Source organism: Homo sapiens, chromosome 18 (assembly GCF_000001405.40).
Source record: "Homo sapiens chromosome 18, GRCh38.p14 Primary Assembly".
Lineage (NCBI taxonomy): Eukaryota > Metazoa > Chordata > Mammalia > Primates > Hominidae > Homo > Homo sapiens.
In genome coordinates this window covers 26,376,897-26,393,488 of record NC_000018.10, presented here as the reverse complement: position 1 = coordinate 26,393,488, position 16,592 = coordinate 26,376,897, and the positions used below count along the sequence as shown (strand labels likewise).

The window sequence follows — 16,592 nt, the reverse complement described above, 5'->3', positions numbered from 1 at the left end:
CTCAAAAAAAAAAAAAAAAAAAAAAAAAAAAAAAAAAAAAAAAAAAAAAAAAAAAAAAGAAAGAAAAAAAAGTAAATGGGTTTGGGCATGGTGGTTACACCTGTAATCTTAGCACTTTGGGAGGCTGAGGCAGGAGAATCACTTGAGCCCAGGAGTTCAATACCAGCCTGTGCAACACAGCAATGACCCATCTCTACAAAAAATTACAAAATTAGCTGGGCAAGGTGGTACTCATCAGTAGTTCCACCTACTTGGGAGGCTGAGGTGGGAGGACCGCCTGAGCCCAAGAGTTCAAGGTTACAGTGAGCCATCATCACACAACTGCACTCCAGCTTTGGGTGACAGAGTGAGACCCTGGATCTAAAGAGTAAGACCCTATATCTAAAATATAGAAACAAATCAAAGTAAATAGATGAAATGGGTAGTTTTTTTAATGTAAAATACACCTCAGTAGAGTTTCTTTAAAAAAGTAAACAGATGGAGAATTTCTGGTACTTTTTAACTGTTCATCACCCAAGATAAATATATGTATATGTGTGTATATAAACATACACACACACACACACACACAATTTTTTTTGAGATGGAGTCTCACTCTTGTCACCCAGGCTGGAGTGCAATGGCATGATCTCGGCTCACTGCAACCTCGGCCTCCCGAGTTCAAATGATTCTCCTGCCTCAGCCTCCCAAGTAGATGGGATTACAGGTGCCTGACACCCCACCTGGCTAATTTTTATATTTTTAGTAGAGACGGGGTTTTGCCATGTTGACCAGGTTAGTTTTGAACTGCTGACTTCGTGATCCACCCACCTCAGCCTACCAAAGTGGTGGGATTACAGGTGTGAGCCACCGTGCCAGGCCACATTTTGTTTTGAGATGGGGTCTTGCTCTGTCGTCCAGGCTGGAGTGCAGTGGTGTGATCATAGCTCACTGCAGCTTCAATCTCCTGGGCTCAAGCAATTCTCCTGCCTCACCCTCCTGAGTTGCTGGGACTACAGGTGCACATCACCACACCCAGCTAATTCTTTCATTTTTTGTAGAGGTGGGCCTTGCTATGTTGCCCAGGTTGTCTCAACCTGGCCTCAAGCAATCCTCCCACCTCGGCCTCCCTAAGTGCTGGGGATTACAGGTGTGAGGCCCAGCTGCAAAATAAATATTGAAGGCAGAGGGTCATGAACTCCAATGCCTAAATGAATCAGGCAAGGGAAGGTAAACTTATGCCTGTGTATCTCAAGTAGACAGCTGCTGGTTAGCTCTGGTGGATTGTTGCCATACAAAAGGATATAGCTAGGGATTCCAGATCTTCTAATTTCTCAAAAGAAATGGAAATATAGATTCTCATGAATTAAAACATTGGCAATACCGTGTGAGTCAAGGAGAATGCATTTGTAGATCAAATCTACTCCAAGCCCACCATTTTGCAAGCTGCACAGAAGAATACCTTGGATACATTATTTTTTCTTTCTTGTGTAAGATATATTTCACAAGACAAAGTTTAAAAATGAATATTAAAAATAAATTTTGAAAAATACCTCAGTTAAAAAACCCTGATAGGCAAGAAAAGCTTTTGTAATGAGTATGCCTAGCTTTCTTTGTGAATCAAATAGCATGCAAATTTACAACTATTTCAAAGAAAGTGATACAACAACTTGGATCTGAAGTGACTTTCTGGAACCAAAATGCCCATACTCCAAAGTAATTCACAATCCGAGCTAGGAAAAATTCACAGCCCAGCAATTTGAGCACATCAGGGGCTAACTACTAAGGACAATGGTTTTCAAAGTCAGTGAATGAGCAAAGTTATTCTTATAATAAAATAATTATTTTAATGAAGTATTTGGAATAATTTTAAACATCTGATCAGTAAGATTATACACAAATGAGTATGCTGCACTTTACAAAAAATAAAGGTAAGCATTTAAATATACAAAAACAACTTTGGATAAAGATCTCTTCTTAAAGTACTCCTTTAACATACACATAATTTATAGCATTTTACATAACTTGCTGAAACAAAAAAAAATGTGGCCAATTTAAAATTTACTATACTGTAGAATATGGCCATAACAGTCCCAATGGGAAGAACAGGATGAAGAATAACATACGTGAGGTGTTTTTTTTTTTTTCCTTCAATTCTTATAAGTATAGCATTTCCCATTTTTGAAATACCTTCTTGGAGGATTCAATCATTTTTTTTCTGTATGTGATTCTAACTACAGTGATTATTTTTCACCGGCTGTATTCCACACACGTGGAATTTTCTTTTTTTTTTTTTTAAAGAGGGTTTGCTTTGTCCGTCAGCTTCTTCCTCAGGTGAACACATATAACTTGCTTCTCATATTTAGAGCTCATATCCCCAAGAGTGAGATATTGACAGTACCTTTTAAGTACAGAATCCAACATAAAGTCCTATTGTTAAAAATTTCTCATCATCAATTAGGATTTTTTAAATGTGCCAACATGCTTAAAAATTAGGATAACTAAAATATATTATGACAGAAGGAACTATAAAAACTATCCTTGGGATTTAAAACAATACAAAACAAAAAATAACATTTTCCTTTTGAAATACTCTAATTTGAAAACATCTGGTACATTCTCCTTTCTGGTTGTGCTGTGATTTTTTTTGCCCATCAACAAAACATGTACCAGTTGTTTTGGAGTTCCGATTCCACCTCTTCCCCTCTTGGGCATATGAAGCACATTTCCTGTTTTATGATACCATTTTCACATTCCCCTCATCAGTTTGAAAGCAACGCCCTAACGTTCCTTCTAATACTTTGCACCTTTTCCATTTTTTCAACAAGATATATCAGTAGATTCAATTTTAAGGTTTCCCTGACAAGCATGTCCCCTCACTTGGTACCAGAAACGGCATATGGTGATATGAAGCAGAGAATTAGCAACCCCAGGCACAATCTATCCCCATTTGTCTTGTTTTGACAACACTGGAACTCAGCCGACCAAAGTCACCACAGTGGCCTGTCACGTACAGAGGGTGACTGTCATAGTTAGCTAAGCAACTTCTGATTCCAGCCCAGAAAACCTACCACTTTGGGACAGGTTCAATATAGAATGAAATAGTCATTCTTGTATTTTCTTATGCCTCTTCCTTTCTCCTGCATCTCAATGCATGCTGTATTAGGGAAGGACACCTCACCTGCTACAATTTGGCAAATGAGGCAGGTAGTAACAAATAGGGCCTTAACTTGCTTTAATTTAATGCACAGATAGGCAGATGCCTAATTCTGTGCAAAGTGTATTTCATAACTGATTTTCAGAAGACAAAGATGAATCTGAGTCTGTAAGAGTCCCATGAGATGGATAGGTAAGAGTTAATAAAGTTTCTAACTGTAAACAATGCTCTTTCATGTTGGTGATTATTTTCCAGAAATTGAAATTTCAGGACAGTGCAACAATGCTTTGTGTCTTCTTTGGCAGTAAATAGCAAGGATCTGGATGGAAGAGTGGAGTGGTCACTTCAGAAGGGCCAGGTATAGAGCTCGAGAATACTTCATCTCCCGTTCCTGTTCCATACAAAATATCAAGTCCCTGAGGCAGATTCTCGTGATTCTTGGACGATGCAACTGTTTGGTGGCTGTCAGGCTGGATGTCCCAGAAGCAAGAAGGTTGTCTTTTAAGCCCTAAAAATAATAAAAGGAAAAGCAATTTGAAATAAAAATCTTTCATAAAGGGAAAGCCTGTCAATTCTAGCATGTCAGAGCCCACTACCCTCTGGTCACTGGGTTAGGTACTGGAGATAATGTAATGATGAAGACCTAACCCTGTCCTCCAGCAGCCAATCTCAAATGGCCATTAAACCTATCACCTGACCTCATTCATTCTTTCCTGCTCACCTGCAGCATGGCAATAGCCTCTGAACTGGTTTCTCCATTTCCAGGCTCTACTTTGCTCCATTCTTTCCAGTGCATTGCAGGCCAGACTTTCCCTCTTTAAAGGTCTTACACAAATCTTTTGAGAGTGAAAGACTTGTTTATCACTTTGATTGTGGTGATGATTTCAAAGCTGTATGCATACATAAAAATCTATCAAATGTAGACTTTAAATGTATGCAGTCTTTTGTATGTCAATAATAAAAAATAACAATGAAGGCCTTTCACGGTTCAGATCCCACCAGGCCATGGTTCCAAAATCTTCAATGGTTCCCATTGCTCAGAGCAGGTTCTTGAGAACCACGCTGAGCACTTTTCATATATTATCTCTTTTCTATCATACAAAATTGCAGCCAGTTATATAAGCGCTGTCCCCATTTATCAAATGAGGAAACTGAGCTTAGATAGGTTAAGCAATCTGTTCAAGGTCACACAGCAAAGTTGAGCTGTGACTCAGTTTCTAATTTGACCTAAAGTAAGCTCTGGTTGGGCACAGTAGCTCACGTCTGTAATCCCAGCACTTTGGGAGGCCGAGGTGGGTGGATCACCTGAGGTCAGGAGTTTGAGACCAGCCTGGCCAACATGGTGAAACCCCGTCTCTACTAAAAATAAAAAAATTAGCTGGGTGTGGTGGCGCATGCCTGTAATCCCAGCTACCAGGGAGGCTAAGGCAGGAGAATTGAACCCAGGAGGCGGAGGTTGCAGTGAGCTGAGATCGCGCCACTGCATTCCTGCCTGGGCAACAGAGCAAGACTCTGTCTCAAAAAAATGAAAATAATAAAAATAAAAATAAAAATAAAGTAAGCACTCTTAACCACTGTGCTATATTATCCACCATATCACGTATAAACCCATCACTCTGGCTTCCTTCGCTCTAACCTCACTTCCCATTGCTCCTTTACAAGACATCTTAACTGCAGCCACATGGCTCCTCTGCCAATAGGCAGAGATTAGCAAAGAGGCCATTCTAGGCCAATCTACTCATCTTTTAAGACCCATTTCAAATGGGTCTACCTGTCCTTCATCCAAGGAAATCTCACTGTGGCAATTACCTTACGTTGTACTATAGTAATTTGTATATGCTCCCGCCACCACTACATACCCACTAGACCATAAGCTTTCTGAGGACAAGGACTATGGTTTCTGTCTCCTCTAGAGCTTAGCAGAGTTCACAGAACAACACAGGTTATCCGCAATATTTTCTAAACTGAATGTACTGGTTTAAAACAGAACAACATGAATTCTAAATGTCATTTTAAAATGATGAAAACACAACACTCCTGTAATTAAGACAGTTTTCTGAATATGTTTACCAATATGAATTACCAATATGTCTATATACTATTACTTTTAATTGGAAGAAAAGAAAAACACAGAACTCTCAAAAGATAATTTTGTAAAAATGAAATCCTTTAATTCTTTTTACCTTTGTTTCAAAACAAAATCCTTTGTTTCACAAAACGTCTCGATAGGACTGGCAACTCTCTTTTATCCACCCGAAAGACATACATAAGGAAAGATAACATAGGAAGAAAATCTGGTTCTGTTACTGTCCTTTTATAACAATTAAATTTTAATTACTCCTTCCACCTTTTTGGGTTTCTTGTTCTGATGGAGGGGAAGGAAATCTCTTAAGGTCTCCAAAACACCATGGTCAAAATCAGTCAAACTTAATTCCATGCATGTTCACAGCATGACTTAGGGGTACTTTATCTGACGGACAAATAAAACTTCTTTAAGAGATACTACCCAGTTTTTGAGGGACATGATGTCGCAGTCATATTTTTATACTCATTAAGTTAAACTTGTTCATAAGTATCCATGGAAACAATTTTGGAAAGTCCACGTTCTAAAAGAGGGAAAAAAATTGGTCTCAGCTGCCCAATTGTTCGGCTACTTATCCCAGAGCCCATCTACAGTATAGAGCCAGTCTCTCGCCACTTCTGCAGGGTTCTTGGTAATGAATGCAATTTGTACAAGTGTAAGCCTCTGGTACTTCAGCTAAGCCTGGCAGTGAAGCACTAGCATGCCACTCTGCTAGCATCAACACTCAGAGATGGTGTAACTCAGATGTAACTTTAACTATTGTAAATTATTACCATCAAAATATCTTCATAAGATTTTTGCGGAATGGGACCAAAAGCTCAGTTTTGTTTGGAAAATTGAATAAAAAGTACATATTAGGAAGAAAGTTACTAAAACATGTAATTGGCAGTGAGTGGAAATTTTGTTGTTTACAGGAGTAACCCATTTAAAACTACAACATATTTAGGCCAAGGCAAGCAAATCGCTTGAGGTCAGGAGTTCGAGACCAGCCTGGCTAACATGGTGAAACCCCACCTCTAACAAAAAATAAATAAAAATGAGCCAGGCATGGTGGTGTGCGTCTGTAAGCTCACTTACTCGGGAGACTGAGGTGGAAGAACTGCTTGAACTTGGGAGGCAGAGGTTGAAGTGAGCCAAGATCATGCCACTGCACTCCAGCCTGGGTGACAGAGTGAGACTCTGTCTTAAAAAACAAAAAACAACTACAATACATTTAACTAGAGGCAATTTCTTTAGCCATAAATTAGATACATTATGCTAAAACTGTATCTATATGTTTATAAATCTTCTAAGAGTTTTCCTAAAATCAGTACTTTGGTGTTTTATATGAGATTTTAAAATAACTGGCTAGACAGACACAATGTCTTGGCAATTCCACATCTATGTAAACACCCAGAAATATGCCATGGGTTCATCAAAAGATATGTATAAGGATGACTACTATTCACAAGAGCCCTAAGCTAGAAACAATCCGAGTGAGTACATTAAGAGTACAATAAATTGTGGAATAGTCATACCATGGAATAATACACAGCAATAACGACTGGGTAACATGAAAGAGTATCACAAAAATGTTCAATGAAAGGAACCAGACACAAAGGAATTCATACTGTATGATTCAATTTCTACCAAGTCCCAGAACAGGCAAAGCTAAAAAAAAGTCAGGAGAGTGAGTTCCCATGGGGGAGATGAGAAGTGATTAGAAAGAGACTGAAGTTTTCTGGAGTTCTGGTGATGTTTCCTTCTTGATCTAACTACTGCCTACATGAATGTGTTCATGCTGTGAAAACTGTGGTGAGCTTATGACTTGTGTACTTTCTATATTGATGCTATATTTCAATAAAAAAAATTAAATTGCTACCCCAAAAACCTTGCCTCAGGAGGAAATTAACATGGAAGCAAAGAGAGGGGGGAAAGGAAAGACAATAAGGCAAAATTGTCAAACAGAAAAAAAAAATAAAGAGACCTAATCATCTGAGTAAGGAACAAAGGGGTCACAGTTCATGTTTGTCATGTGACAAGCCTGAAGGATTCAGGGGAAAGAGCCATATTACAGCTGCCAGCACAGAGTTGAAAAGAAGGTCATTCCAACAGGATGCAGCAGAGAGCCTGAGGCAATGTTATAAATGAAAAAAACCCCAAGGGACATTCAGTAACCCAACAGAAATGTCTTTCATAATTCACAACTTTATGAAGGTGATAGCATTCTCTTCCCCCAAATAGCAGCTAACTTAGAAAGTCAATCTTTCTTGAATCTGAATACAAAATATATAGCATTTTTATTCCTGAGCTTTGATTTGGCAAAGTCCACAACTGTAACTTGTCAATCACAATGACCTGGCCAGAATAACCAGCTACTCTCAGTTATCCACAGTCAAGGGGGTAGAGAGTGCACAGGTAACTTACAGCCATAAAAACCAAACCTGCTTTTTCACCATCAGTTTTAATTTTCCTCTGCCTCACCAAGTCCTTTCCCCAGAGTTGACTAGGACTGATTTCTGGTCACATTAGAAATCACAAAGAATACTAATGTGGTTAAGGGCCCAGAGTTTGCAAGAAGAAGAAGAAGAAGAAGAAAAAAAAAAAAAAACGCTGTTTATTCTTCTCACTGTTAGTGTACTGTTCACTTCGGAAATAGAAGGTTTTCCCATGTAACTTTCTACATGAGGATATTCCTTAATCTGGATTCTTCACCTGGATGAAAATGAAAGATGAAACGACCAATTCATTTCCCAGGTGCACAAAAGATGTCCTAGGAAGCCTACTCAAACCTAAATGTTAACATCTTCTAAAATTGCCAGATCAATTATGTTAGCCTTCATAATTGTTACTCATTAATGTTACCCAGCCCACTAACAACTTATCTCACCTAATTTGTTTTGTTATACCACTGAACTAAGTTTCTTGTTTTTATAATGAAACTTCTGAGGAACTCTATTGCTCTAACAAGAAAAAATGGAAAATCATCAGTTATCAATTTTAGATAAATAACACCATTTTAATAATGATACTAAATAACCAAAAATAACTAGTAATCCAATTTTTATCCCTCAACTTAATACAGCAGTGTTGTGAAATAAAACCTTTAAAGATTTTTCTACTTCTTTTTCCACATTTCCTTAAATTGGATGACTGCTCTAAGTCAGAAGCAGAAAGGACATCTTTATGAACCCAGTGGCTTCGGGAATCCTGTTGGGGTTTGCAGTGACTCCATACGGGCCTCTCCTCCCAAGAGCCACCATCCACGGTAATGTAGCTTCATGCTAGTCTACGTTCTGATTCCATTCAAAATTCTCTGGGTTACTGGGTACCTACTATGGGCAAGAACTGTGCTAGGCGGCATAAGATATACAGAACTGAATGGTGGCAAACACTCGTTGTCTCCTCCATAGGCAATCTCAAATTACTTAATTTCTCTGTGCCTCAGTTTCCGAATCTGCAAAATAGGGATAGTAACACTAATTATCTCAAATGGCTGGTTTGAAGATTAAATGACAATGGCATACGCTCTCTAAATGTTGGCCCTATTCTCATAATGAATTCCCTAGTCAGTAGGAAGGCACTGAAGGTTTACAAACAGGAAACAGTGTAATTCTAGCTCCAGACCTTTTTTCCCATCCCGTAGTTAAAACTAGTTAAACTTTTCCTACCTAGGTCCTATTATCTCAAGTCTTCACTAAATCACTGGTTACTGAACTCAAGAGAAATCATTTGTGCTGCCATACTTACCTTGTCCCTCTCAGTGAAATTTCTGAATTTTAAGGGAGCCTTGAATGCCTAAAGCTCCAAAGTAGACTGATGGCCATTTCAGACATGTGACGGGTGGACAGTAAGTTTTTCTTACACCCCTCAAATTAAATAGTGGAGGAGCCTGCTGCTGTACAGAATCAACTAAGCTTTTCAATATTGTCTCTAGAAACTAAAAGTCAATCTCTTTCATTCAATTCCCTGAATCCTACGACTAATAAAAGCAAAATTTGTGTCCCTGAATCTGAACAGTTAACCAAACACAAAAACTGAGAATTTCTTAATAGAGGAATCAAGAGGCAAAGATTCATGACATTCTCAGATTCTACCTGATTTACACTAAGTCCCAACCTCATGCCACCATGGCAGCTCTTAAGGGATAGCTCAAGTCTTTTCAGCTTTAAGGAGGAAACAAGGTCCAAATGTGAGAAATAGGGAGTAGAATGAAGACTTGGCTCCAGAAAAAAGAAAAAAAACTGAACATCTTCTAAGTCTCAGAAGCAAAAATAAATAAATGTGCCCTGGATACCTGACCCAGTGTAACAAGAACACTGAAAATCTATATTCACAATACCCAAGCTTCTAGGCCTTAAAGGGGAACACAGGACAGAAAAATACTGAGCTTCAAAATTCACTGCCCTCTGCTGGTCAACAAGCAGAACTTCTGAAGCAACAGATCTCTCATCTTTATCACCTTCATTTTATTCCTTTCTAGTTATTTCAGAATACAGACAACACTGCATGTTAACTTCTGCCCCATTTCATCACTCCTAAATGTCTATGTTTCAATAGTACTTTACAGAAGAAAACACTGATGTGACACGGAATCACTGGCTTCAAGTTACAATTCTAGCTCTGTAATTATGAGAGCTATAGAGATAATATACTGCCTGTCATAGCTAATGATCACCCCCATCTTTATCTCCAACAGAACGCTCTCTCATTTTCCAGATGCCACTGTTCAATTTCTTAATGATTTCCAATTGAATGTATTATAAGTATCCCAAATTCTACATGTTTCAAACTATCATTCCTTCCCTTCCTCCTCTTCATTTCAAGGAATGCCTAAGCCAGAAAATTGGATGTCATCCTCAAATCTTTCTCTATAGTCCATCTGCCACTTATCTATTCTACCCCCTTAATAGTTTCTAAGCCATCTACTTTTACATTTTCACTTCCATTATCTTCTGCCTAGATTACTTCAACAGCCTTCTAAAAAACCTCCCTATTTCCAGTGTTAATATTGCTTACACTGCAGTGAGAAGGATCTTTCAAAAATAATCTGACAAAATTGTTTTCTTGCTTGAAATGCTCCAGTGGCTAAGATTTTCCTATAAGAACCAAGTCTAAACATCTAAGCATGACATATATGGCCATCCATGACCACACCAAAGTTTCTCTCCCTAGTCTCATCTCTCATTCCTTTCTTCTTGTCTCAAACTATTGATTATGAACAAAATATTTTTCCTTTTTGATACAGACAATTAATTGCACATAGCATTCTCTCTTCACTGAACTCCACTGATCCTATCCTTATTGCCACATCATCTAAGTTCTTTTGGATTCAGCTAGGATATCAAGTGTCCCCAGTGCCTACAAACACAAACTTACCCCAGGTCTAGCCTAGGTGCAACTCCTATGCACTTTAGTAGTACTTTTTATTTCCCTCTACCATCATACGTCTTCAGTGCAATGTAATTTTCTCTTTAACTTATCACTTACTAGAATAAAAAGATTTTGTACCTGTGAATACTTTACAGTGTTTGGCATTTAGGTGATATCATCTGTAGGAGAACCATGTGTTTGGAGTCACCCAATAACATCACTTATATGAATAAACAGTGAAAATAAACCACCCTATGAGCTTTGGACCTTCTAATTCAAGATCCTGCTGTCATTGTCAGCTTTAAGCCAAACCAATCTGGGGTGAAAGGTGGGGTATGTAAAGTCCTTTGATGGTTTATTCACAACTATTACCCAGCCCTCTAACATCTTACCTCACCTACTCATCCCCACCAAACTGCTACTAGATGGAATTTGTTCAAAAGACTATTTTCTGCCATTTTCTCCAAACATTAAGAAAGTGCTTCAGCCCACCAAGGAATTCGACACACAAGAACAGCAAAAAGCCAAATAAACAGTGAATTCTGAAAGGCAGTAAATTGATTATTTCCTATGGCCAAGCTGACAACCTCATGTCAAGACTTTCCTACTTACACTATGGTTATTTTCTTTAAACTTTTACTAAGACACTTGCAAAGACCTCTGAAAACTCACATAAACTATGTCCAGAGATCGGTTTTACCTATTATTTTCTTAAAATTTATTCAAAGGACTGCTAAACATTTTTCTTTAAGAATTAGCTTTGATTTTTCCTTGGAGAACTGTGAATATAAGTAAGAGCTATAATATAATAAGGGTTGCTGTGCCTCAAAACTAAAGGTGAATTTATCAATATCTTTAAATGTATTAACAGTAGCTTTGTTTAAAACTCTAGTAATTCTAGAGTTGGTGAGTTGCATACAGGCTGATAGAAAAATAACTCGAATGAAATATGAATTTATAGAAAAAAAGAGAAACCATTAGAAATTGGAAACATAAAAAAACCATTTTTATTTTCATAAATTCTTTAAAAGATATATGACCATTAATAATAACATATCAGGGAGGTTAGAACATATGTAGCAGTAAAGTAGGTGACAACAATAGCACAAAGGATGGAAGGGTGTGTATAATTAACTATTTGGTTTGGATTTATTTATTTATTTATTTATTTATTTATTTATTTATTTATTTAGAGGCGGAGTTTCGCTCATTGCCCAGGCTGGAGTGCAATGGCGCAATCTCGGCTCACCGCAACCTCTGCCTCCCAGGTTCAAGCGATTCCCCTGTCTCAGCCTCTCGAGTAGCTGGGATTACAAGCACCTGCCACCAAGCCCGGCTAACTTTTGTAGTTTTAGTAGAGATGGGGTTTCTCCATGTTGGTCAGGCTGGTCTCGAACTCCTGACCTCAGGTGATCCGCCTGCCTTGGCCTCCCAAAGTGCTGGGATTACAGGCGTGAGCTACCGCGCCCAGCCAAATTACTTGGTTTTAAAAGACTCTTCCATTTTGTGTGAAGTGGTATTAATTCAAAGCCAAGTGTAGTCAGTTAAGGATGCACATTGTACCTCTGAACAGAGTCACAGCAACCATTAAAAAAAATAAAAGGGCCAGACACAGTGGCTCACGCCTGTTACCCCAGCACTTTGGGAGGCCGAGGCAGGCAGGTCCCTTGAGCCCAGGAGTTCAAGACCAGCCTGGGAAACATGGTGAAACCCTACCTCTACTAAAAATGCTAAAATTAGCCAGGCGTGGTGGTGTGTGCCTGTGGTCCCAGTTATTCCAGAGGCTGAGGTGGGAGGATCGCTTGAACCTGGGAGGTCGAGGCTGTAATGAGCAATGATTGTGCCACTGCACTCCAGCCTGGGCGACAGGGCAAGACTCTGTCTCAAAAGATAAGTAGGTATATAAATAAGACTATTAACTAAAAAGGAAACAGACAACGTAGCATAGAATACTAAAATAGTGCTTGATTAACTCAAAAGATGGCAGAAAAGGAGAAAAAAACTGGGAAAATTAAAAATGAACAGCAAGATGATGGACTTAAATCCAGTCATAGCAGTATTTACATTAACTATTGAACCAAACACTCCAAGTGAATTCTCATTCTGGTAAAAAAAAAAAATCAAAACTCAATTATATGTTATTTATAAGAGACCTGCTTTAAACAAAGACACAGATAAGGTGGAAGTAAACCAAAGGAAAAAAGATGAACTATGTAAATACTAAGGGTGAGAAAGCTGACATGGCTATAATAGTATCAGGCAAAGCACTAAAATAAAACTTTTAAAAAAACAAAGCAGACTTCAAGACAAGGAATATTACTAGAAAGGAAGATCAATTCGCAAGGACAGAAGGAGGCAATTCACGAGAAAGACATTCAGTATTCATCAAGACAAACCATGCAAGCCCAAGTCATAGTAAACTTAAAGGACTAAAATCAGGCTATGTTCTCTGACCACAATGAAAACACCAAACATTTGGAAATTAAACAACATACTTCTAAATAATCTGTAGGTCAAAAAAGATACCAGGATGGAAGTTAGGAAATATCTTCAAAGTTGATAATAAAAACACAACATATCTAAATTTGTAGGGTTGAGGCTAAAGTAGAAAACAAATGGAATTGTATAGCTTTAAATGTAGAAAAGAAATGTGTAAGGTTAATTACAGGCAATTTCCCTCTAAGATCAGGAATAAGGCATGGATGTCTGCTCTCACCACTTCTATTAAACATAGTAATGGGGAAGTTAGCCAGTGCTCTAAGGCAAGAAAAGAAAATAAAAAGCATAAAGATTGGAAAGGAAGAAGTACTCTTATTTTTATTTGTGGCCAGCATGATTTGCTTAGCAAATCCTAAGACATTTATTCCAAAAAACCTCTAGAACAATTAAGTGAATTTAGCAGAATGGAGGATACAAGATCTATGTCAAAATCAACTTTACTTTGATATGTTAGCAACAAACAATTGGAAAGTATATAATTTTAAAATACTACTTTCAATAGCATCAAAAAAATATACCTATGTATAAATGGATAAAAGATGTCAAAGACTTGTACATGGAAAACTAAAACATTGAGATAAAGATGACAGAAGTAAATGGAACAATATTAGAAGCCTCAGTATTGCTAAGATGTAAATTCTCTGCAAATTGATCTATAGATTCAATGCCATCCTAATAAAGAATACCTAGACATTTTTGTAAGAATGACAAGATGATTCTAAAAATTCATATGAAGATACAAAGGACACAGAATAGCCAAAAATAACCTTGTTTTAAAAAAGGACAAAGCTGGAACACTCACACTATCTGATTTCTAAACTGTTACAGTAATCAAGAGAGATTGTAGTATGGCATAAATAGAGAAAAATAAACAAACAGAATAGAGTATGTGTATAGATATGTCCACATATATAGTTAATTGGTTTTCAACATAAGCTATAAGGTGATGCAATGGGGAAAGCCTTCTCTAATAAATGGGGTAGAGTAACAGGATACCTGTATGTGAAAAAATAAACTTTCAACCCCCACTTCACAGCAGACACAAATACTAAATCAAGATAGATCAAAGACCTATAACATAAAAGTTAAAACTATAAAGCTTCTAGGAAAACACAGGGTAAATCTTCACAACATGGGGTACACAAAGGTTTTTTTAGGATACAGCAAGTACTAATTATAAAAGAAGACAATGATAAATTGGACTTCGTCAAAATTAAAACCTTCTGCTCCTCCAAAAGTCACCACTATGAAAATAAAAGTACATTGCTAAAGGGAGTATGAAATGGTACAACCATCTGAAAAACAGTTTAGAGTCTCTTAAGATTAAATATACACCTATGATCCAACAGTAGTACTCCTAAGTATTTAGCAAAGAGGAATGAAAACATAGGCCACAAAATGACTTTTACAAGAATGTAGCTTTATATGGATAAAGCACCTTTATCCATACTAGCCAAATATTGAAAACAGTCCAGTAACACTGAATAAACAAATTATGGAGTATTTACACAACAGAAGACAACTCAGCACTAAAAAGAATGTACTACTGATATGCATAATGTGAATAAATCTCAAAAACATTATGAGTGAAATAATTCAGAAACAAGACTACATTATCATATGGTTCCCAATTCTACAAAGTTCTGAAACAGGAAAGATTAAGCTATGGTAACAGAAATTAGATCAGTAATTGCAGAGGGGGTTGCAGGTGGTAAAAGGCATAATAGAACTTTCTGGGGATCACAGAAATGTTTTATATCTTATCTGGGATAGTGGTTACAATTAAAACCAATACATTCTATTGTATATAAATTATACCTCAATCTGAAAAGCAAATGCAAAGTTAATTTCAATTTTTAACTTAAAATTGAGATTTCAAAGTCAACCCTTCCTGAAGACTTCCCCAAAGGAACATGGTTACTCTTTCTTATGATCTGGTGTACTTTGGTATAGAAGTATGAGAAGTTTGTCAAGCTGGAATTCTACATCCACAAACATTATGATAGCTACAGAAATTTTTACTCCAACACTTATGTGAAAAGATGTTTGTAAATTTTAAAAGTTACCTGAAAGATACTATAAGATCCTAGAGTATGGTAACTCAATTTTATAAATATTACTGAAATGCTTGAGAAATTTATGTATCAGTGTTTCTCAATGGGGATATTATTAGAATTTTGGGTAAGCTAAATTAAGTGAATTTGCCCCCTCACGATGTGCAATGTTTAGTACTGCTGGCCCCAAGCCACAAAATGCCAACAGCACACAACCCACCCCACCCTTCACTGAATCACTGTGTCAAAACACCACCCCTTCACACATTTCCAAACGCCCCATAGGAGTACAGTTGAAAACGGTCTATAAGCTAATGGTCAAAAACACATATAAGCAGCATTTTAAAAAACATCTAATTACTAGACTTAATCTAGCTTGCCATTTTATTTCCAAAGCTAATAATTTAACTAACAATTACCTTTACTTACTTAACTTCCAAGGACAAATGTACATACTTTTATTTGCTACATGTAATACTAGTGTAGGACGATGAAGAATAACTGATTTTGTTGAAATCCCTAATGACGGAAGCCAAATACAACCACTGAAAGCATGTCAACAGCAACAAACTGTAACACACAATAACATTAGCAAACTACTGAGAGGAGTAATAAATCCAGAAGATGAACTGTCATGAACAGACCTGGTGAATGGCCCATTTACGTATAATACTGGGTTAAAACAATAAAACAACAACAAAACGCCTGGGTATTCCCATGGTGTTCTTTGTGCCAGAAGAGTAGTAGCAAACAACTAAATCTCCTTGATAACACATTCAAGTTAAAGCAAGCAGATACTAATTAATCTACTTTACGGTTTTAATATTTAAACTTGTTGCAATCAAAACACAACATAACCATGTAATGACAAGGTTTGCTAGGCTTCTAGCATCTACTCATATATGCAGAGTTAAGAAGGAACACTGAGGAACAAAGAATAAAAAAGGATACAAGACCACATATATGCCTAGTGCTAAGAAGCAAAAGATGAATTAAACTGGCACATGATCCTAGAGGAAGAGATTGAATCGTAATCAATAAAGTTTTCCCAAAGAGCACAGGGCCAGATGGCTTCACTATTGAAATCTATCAAACATTTAAAGAAGAATTAACACCAATACTTCACAAGCTCTTCTAAAAAATAGGAGAGGAGGGAACACTTTCTAATCCATTCTCCAAGAATGGTATTACTCTGATACCTAAACAAGCTAAAGACATCATGAAAAAACCACTGCAGACCATTATTCCTTATGAACATGGATGCAAAACTCTTCAATGAAATACTAGCAAGCAGAAACTAACAGTATATAAAAAGTGCTATACACCAATAACCAAGTGAGATTTATCCCAGGAATACAAAGTGGGTTCAATACATAAAAATCAATCAATGTAATACACCTTCTTTAGATAAAGGGGAAAAAAAAGCACGATCATCTCAAAAGAGGCAGAAAAAGCATTTGAAAAAACC

The 16,592-nt window shown here is 37.2% G+C and overlaps 1 protein-coding gene across 4 annotated transcripts in view, besides 1 other annotated feature; it reads right to left on the bottom strand.

Annotated features, from left to right (window-relative positions):
- Nucleotides 204-397: a silencer, noted in NCBI's record as "fragment chr18:23973056-23973249 (GRCh37/hg19 assembly coordinates)". NCBI's record gives its function as "represses an EF-1alpha promoter that drives an FKBP-Casp9 reporter gene in an ReSE screen in K562 erythroleukemia cells {active_cell/tissue: K562}" and the evidence as "EXISTENCE:reporter gene assay evidence [ECO:0000049][PMID:32094911]".
- The window catches only part of TAF4B (TATA-box binding protein associated factor 4b), a 165,241-nt gene continuing 150,452 nt past the window's right edge, over nt 1,804-16,592 (bottom strand). For 3 of the 4 annotated variants that reach the window (NR_121653.2, NM_001293725.2, NM_005640.3), the window contains one exon: nt 1,804-3,644. Coding sequence is in view for 3 of the 4 variants with exons in the window: in NM_001293725.2 (NP_001280654.1) it covers nt 3,477-3,644 (168 nt within the window). In the remaining variant the exon portion in view is untranslated. Of the gene's footprint in view, nt 3,645-5,319; nt 5,379-16,592 lie in introns of all 4 variants that reach the window. The other variant, XM_024451239.2, reaches the window with a different exon arrangement.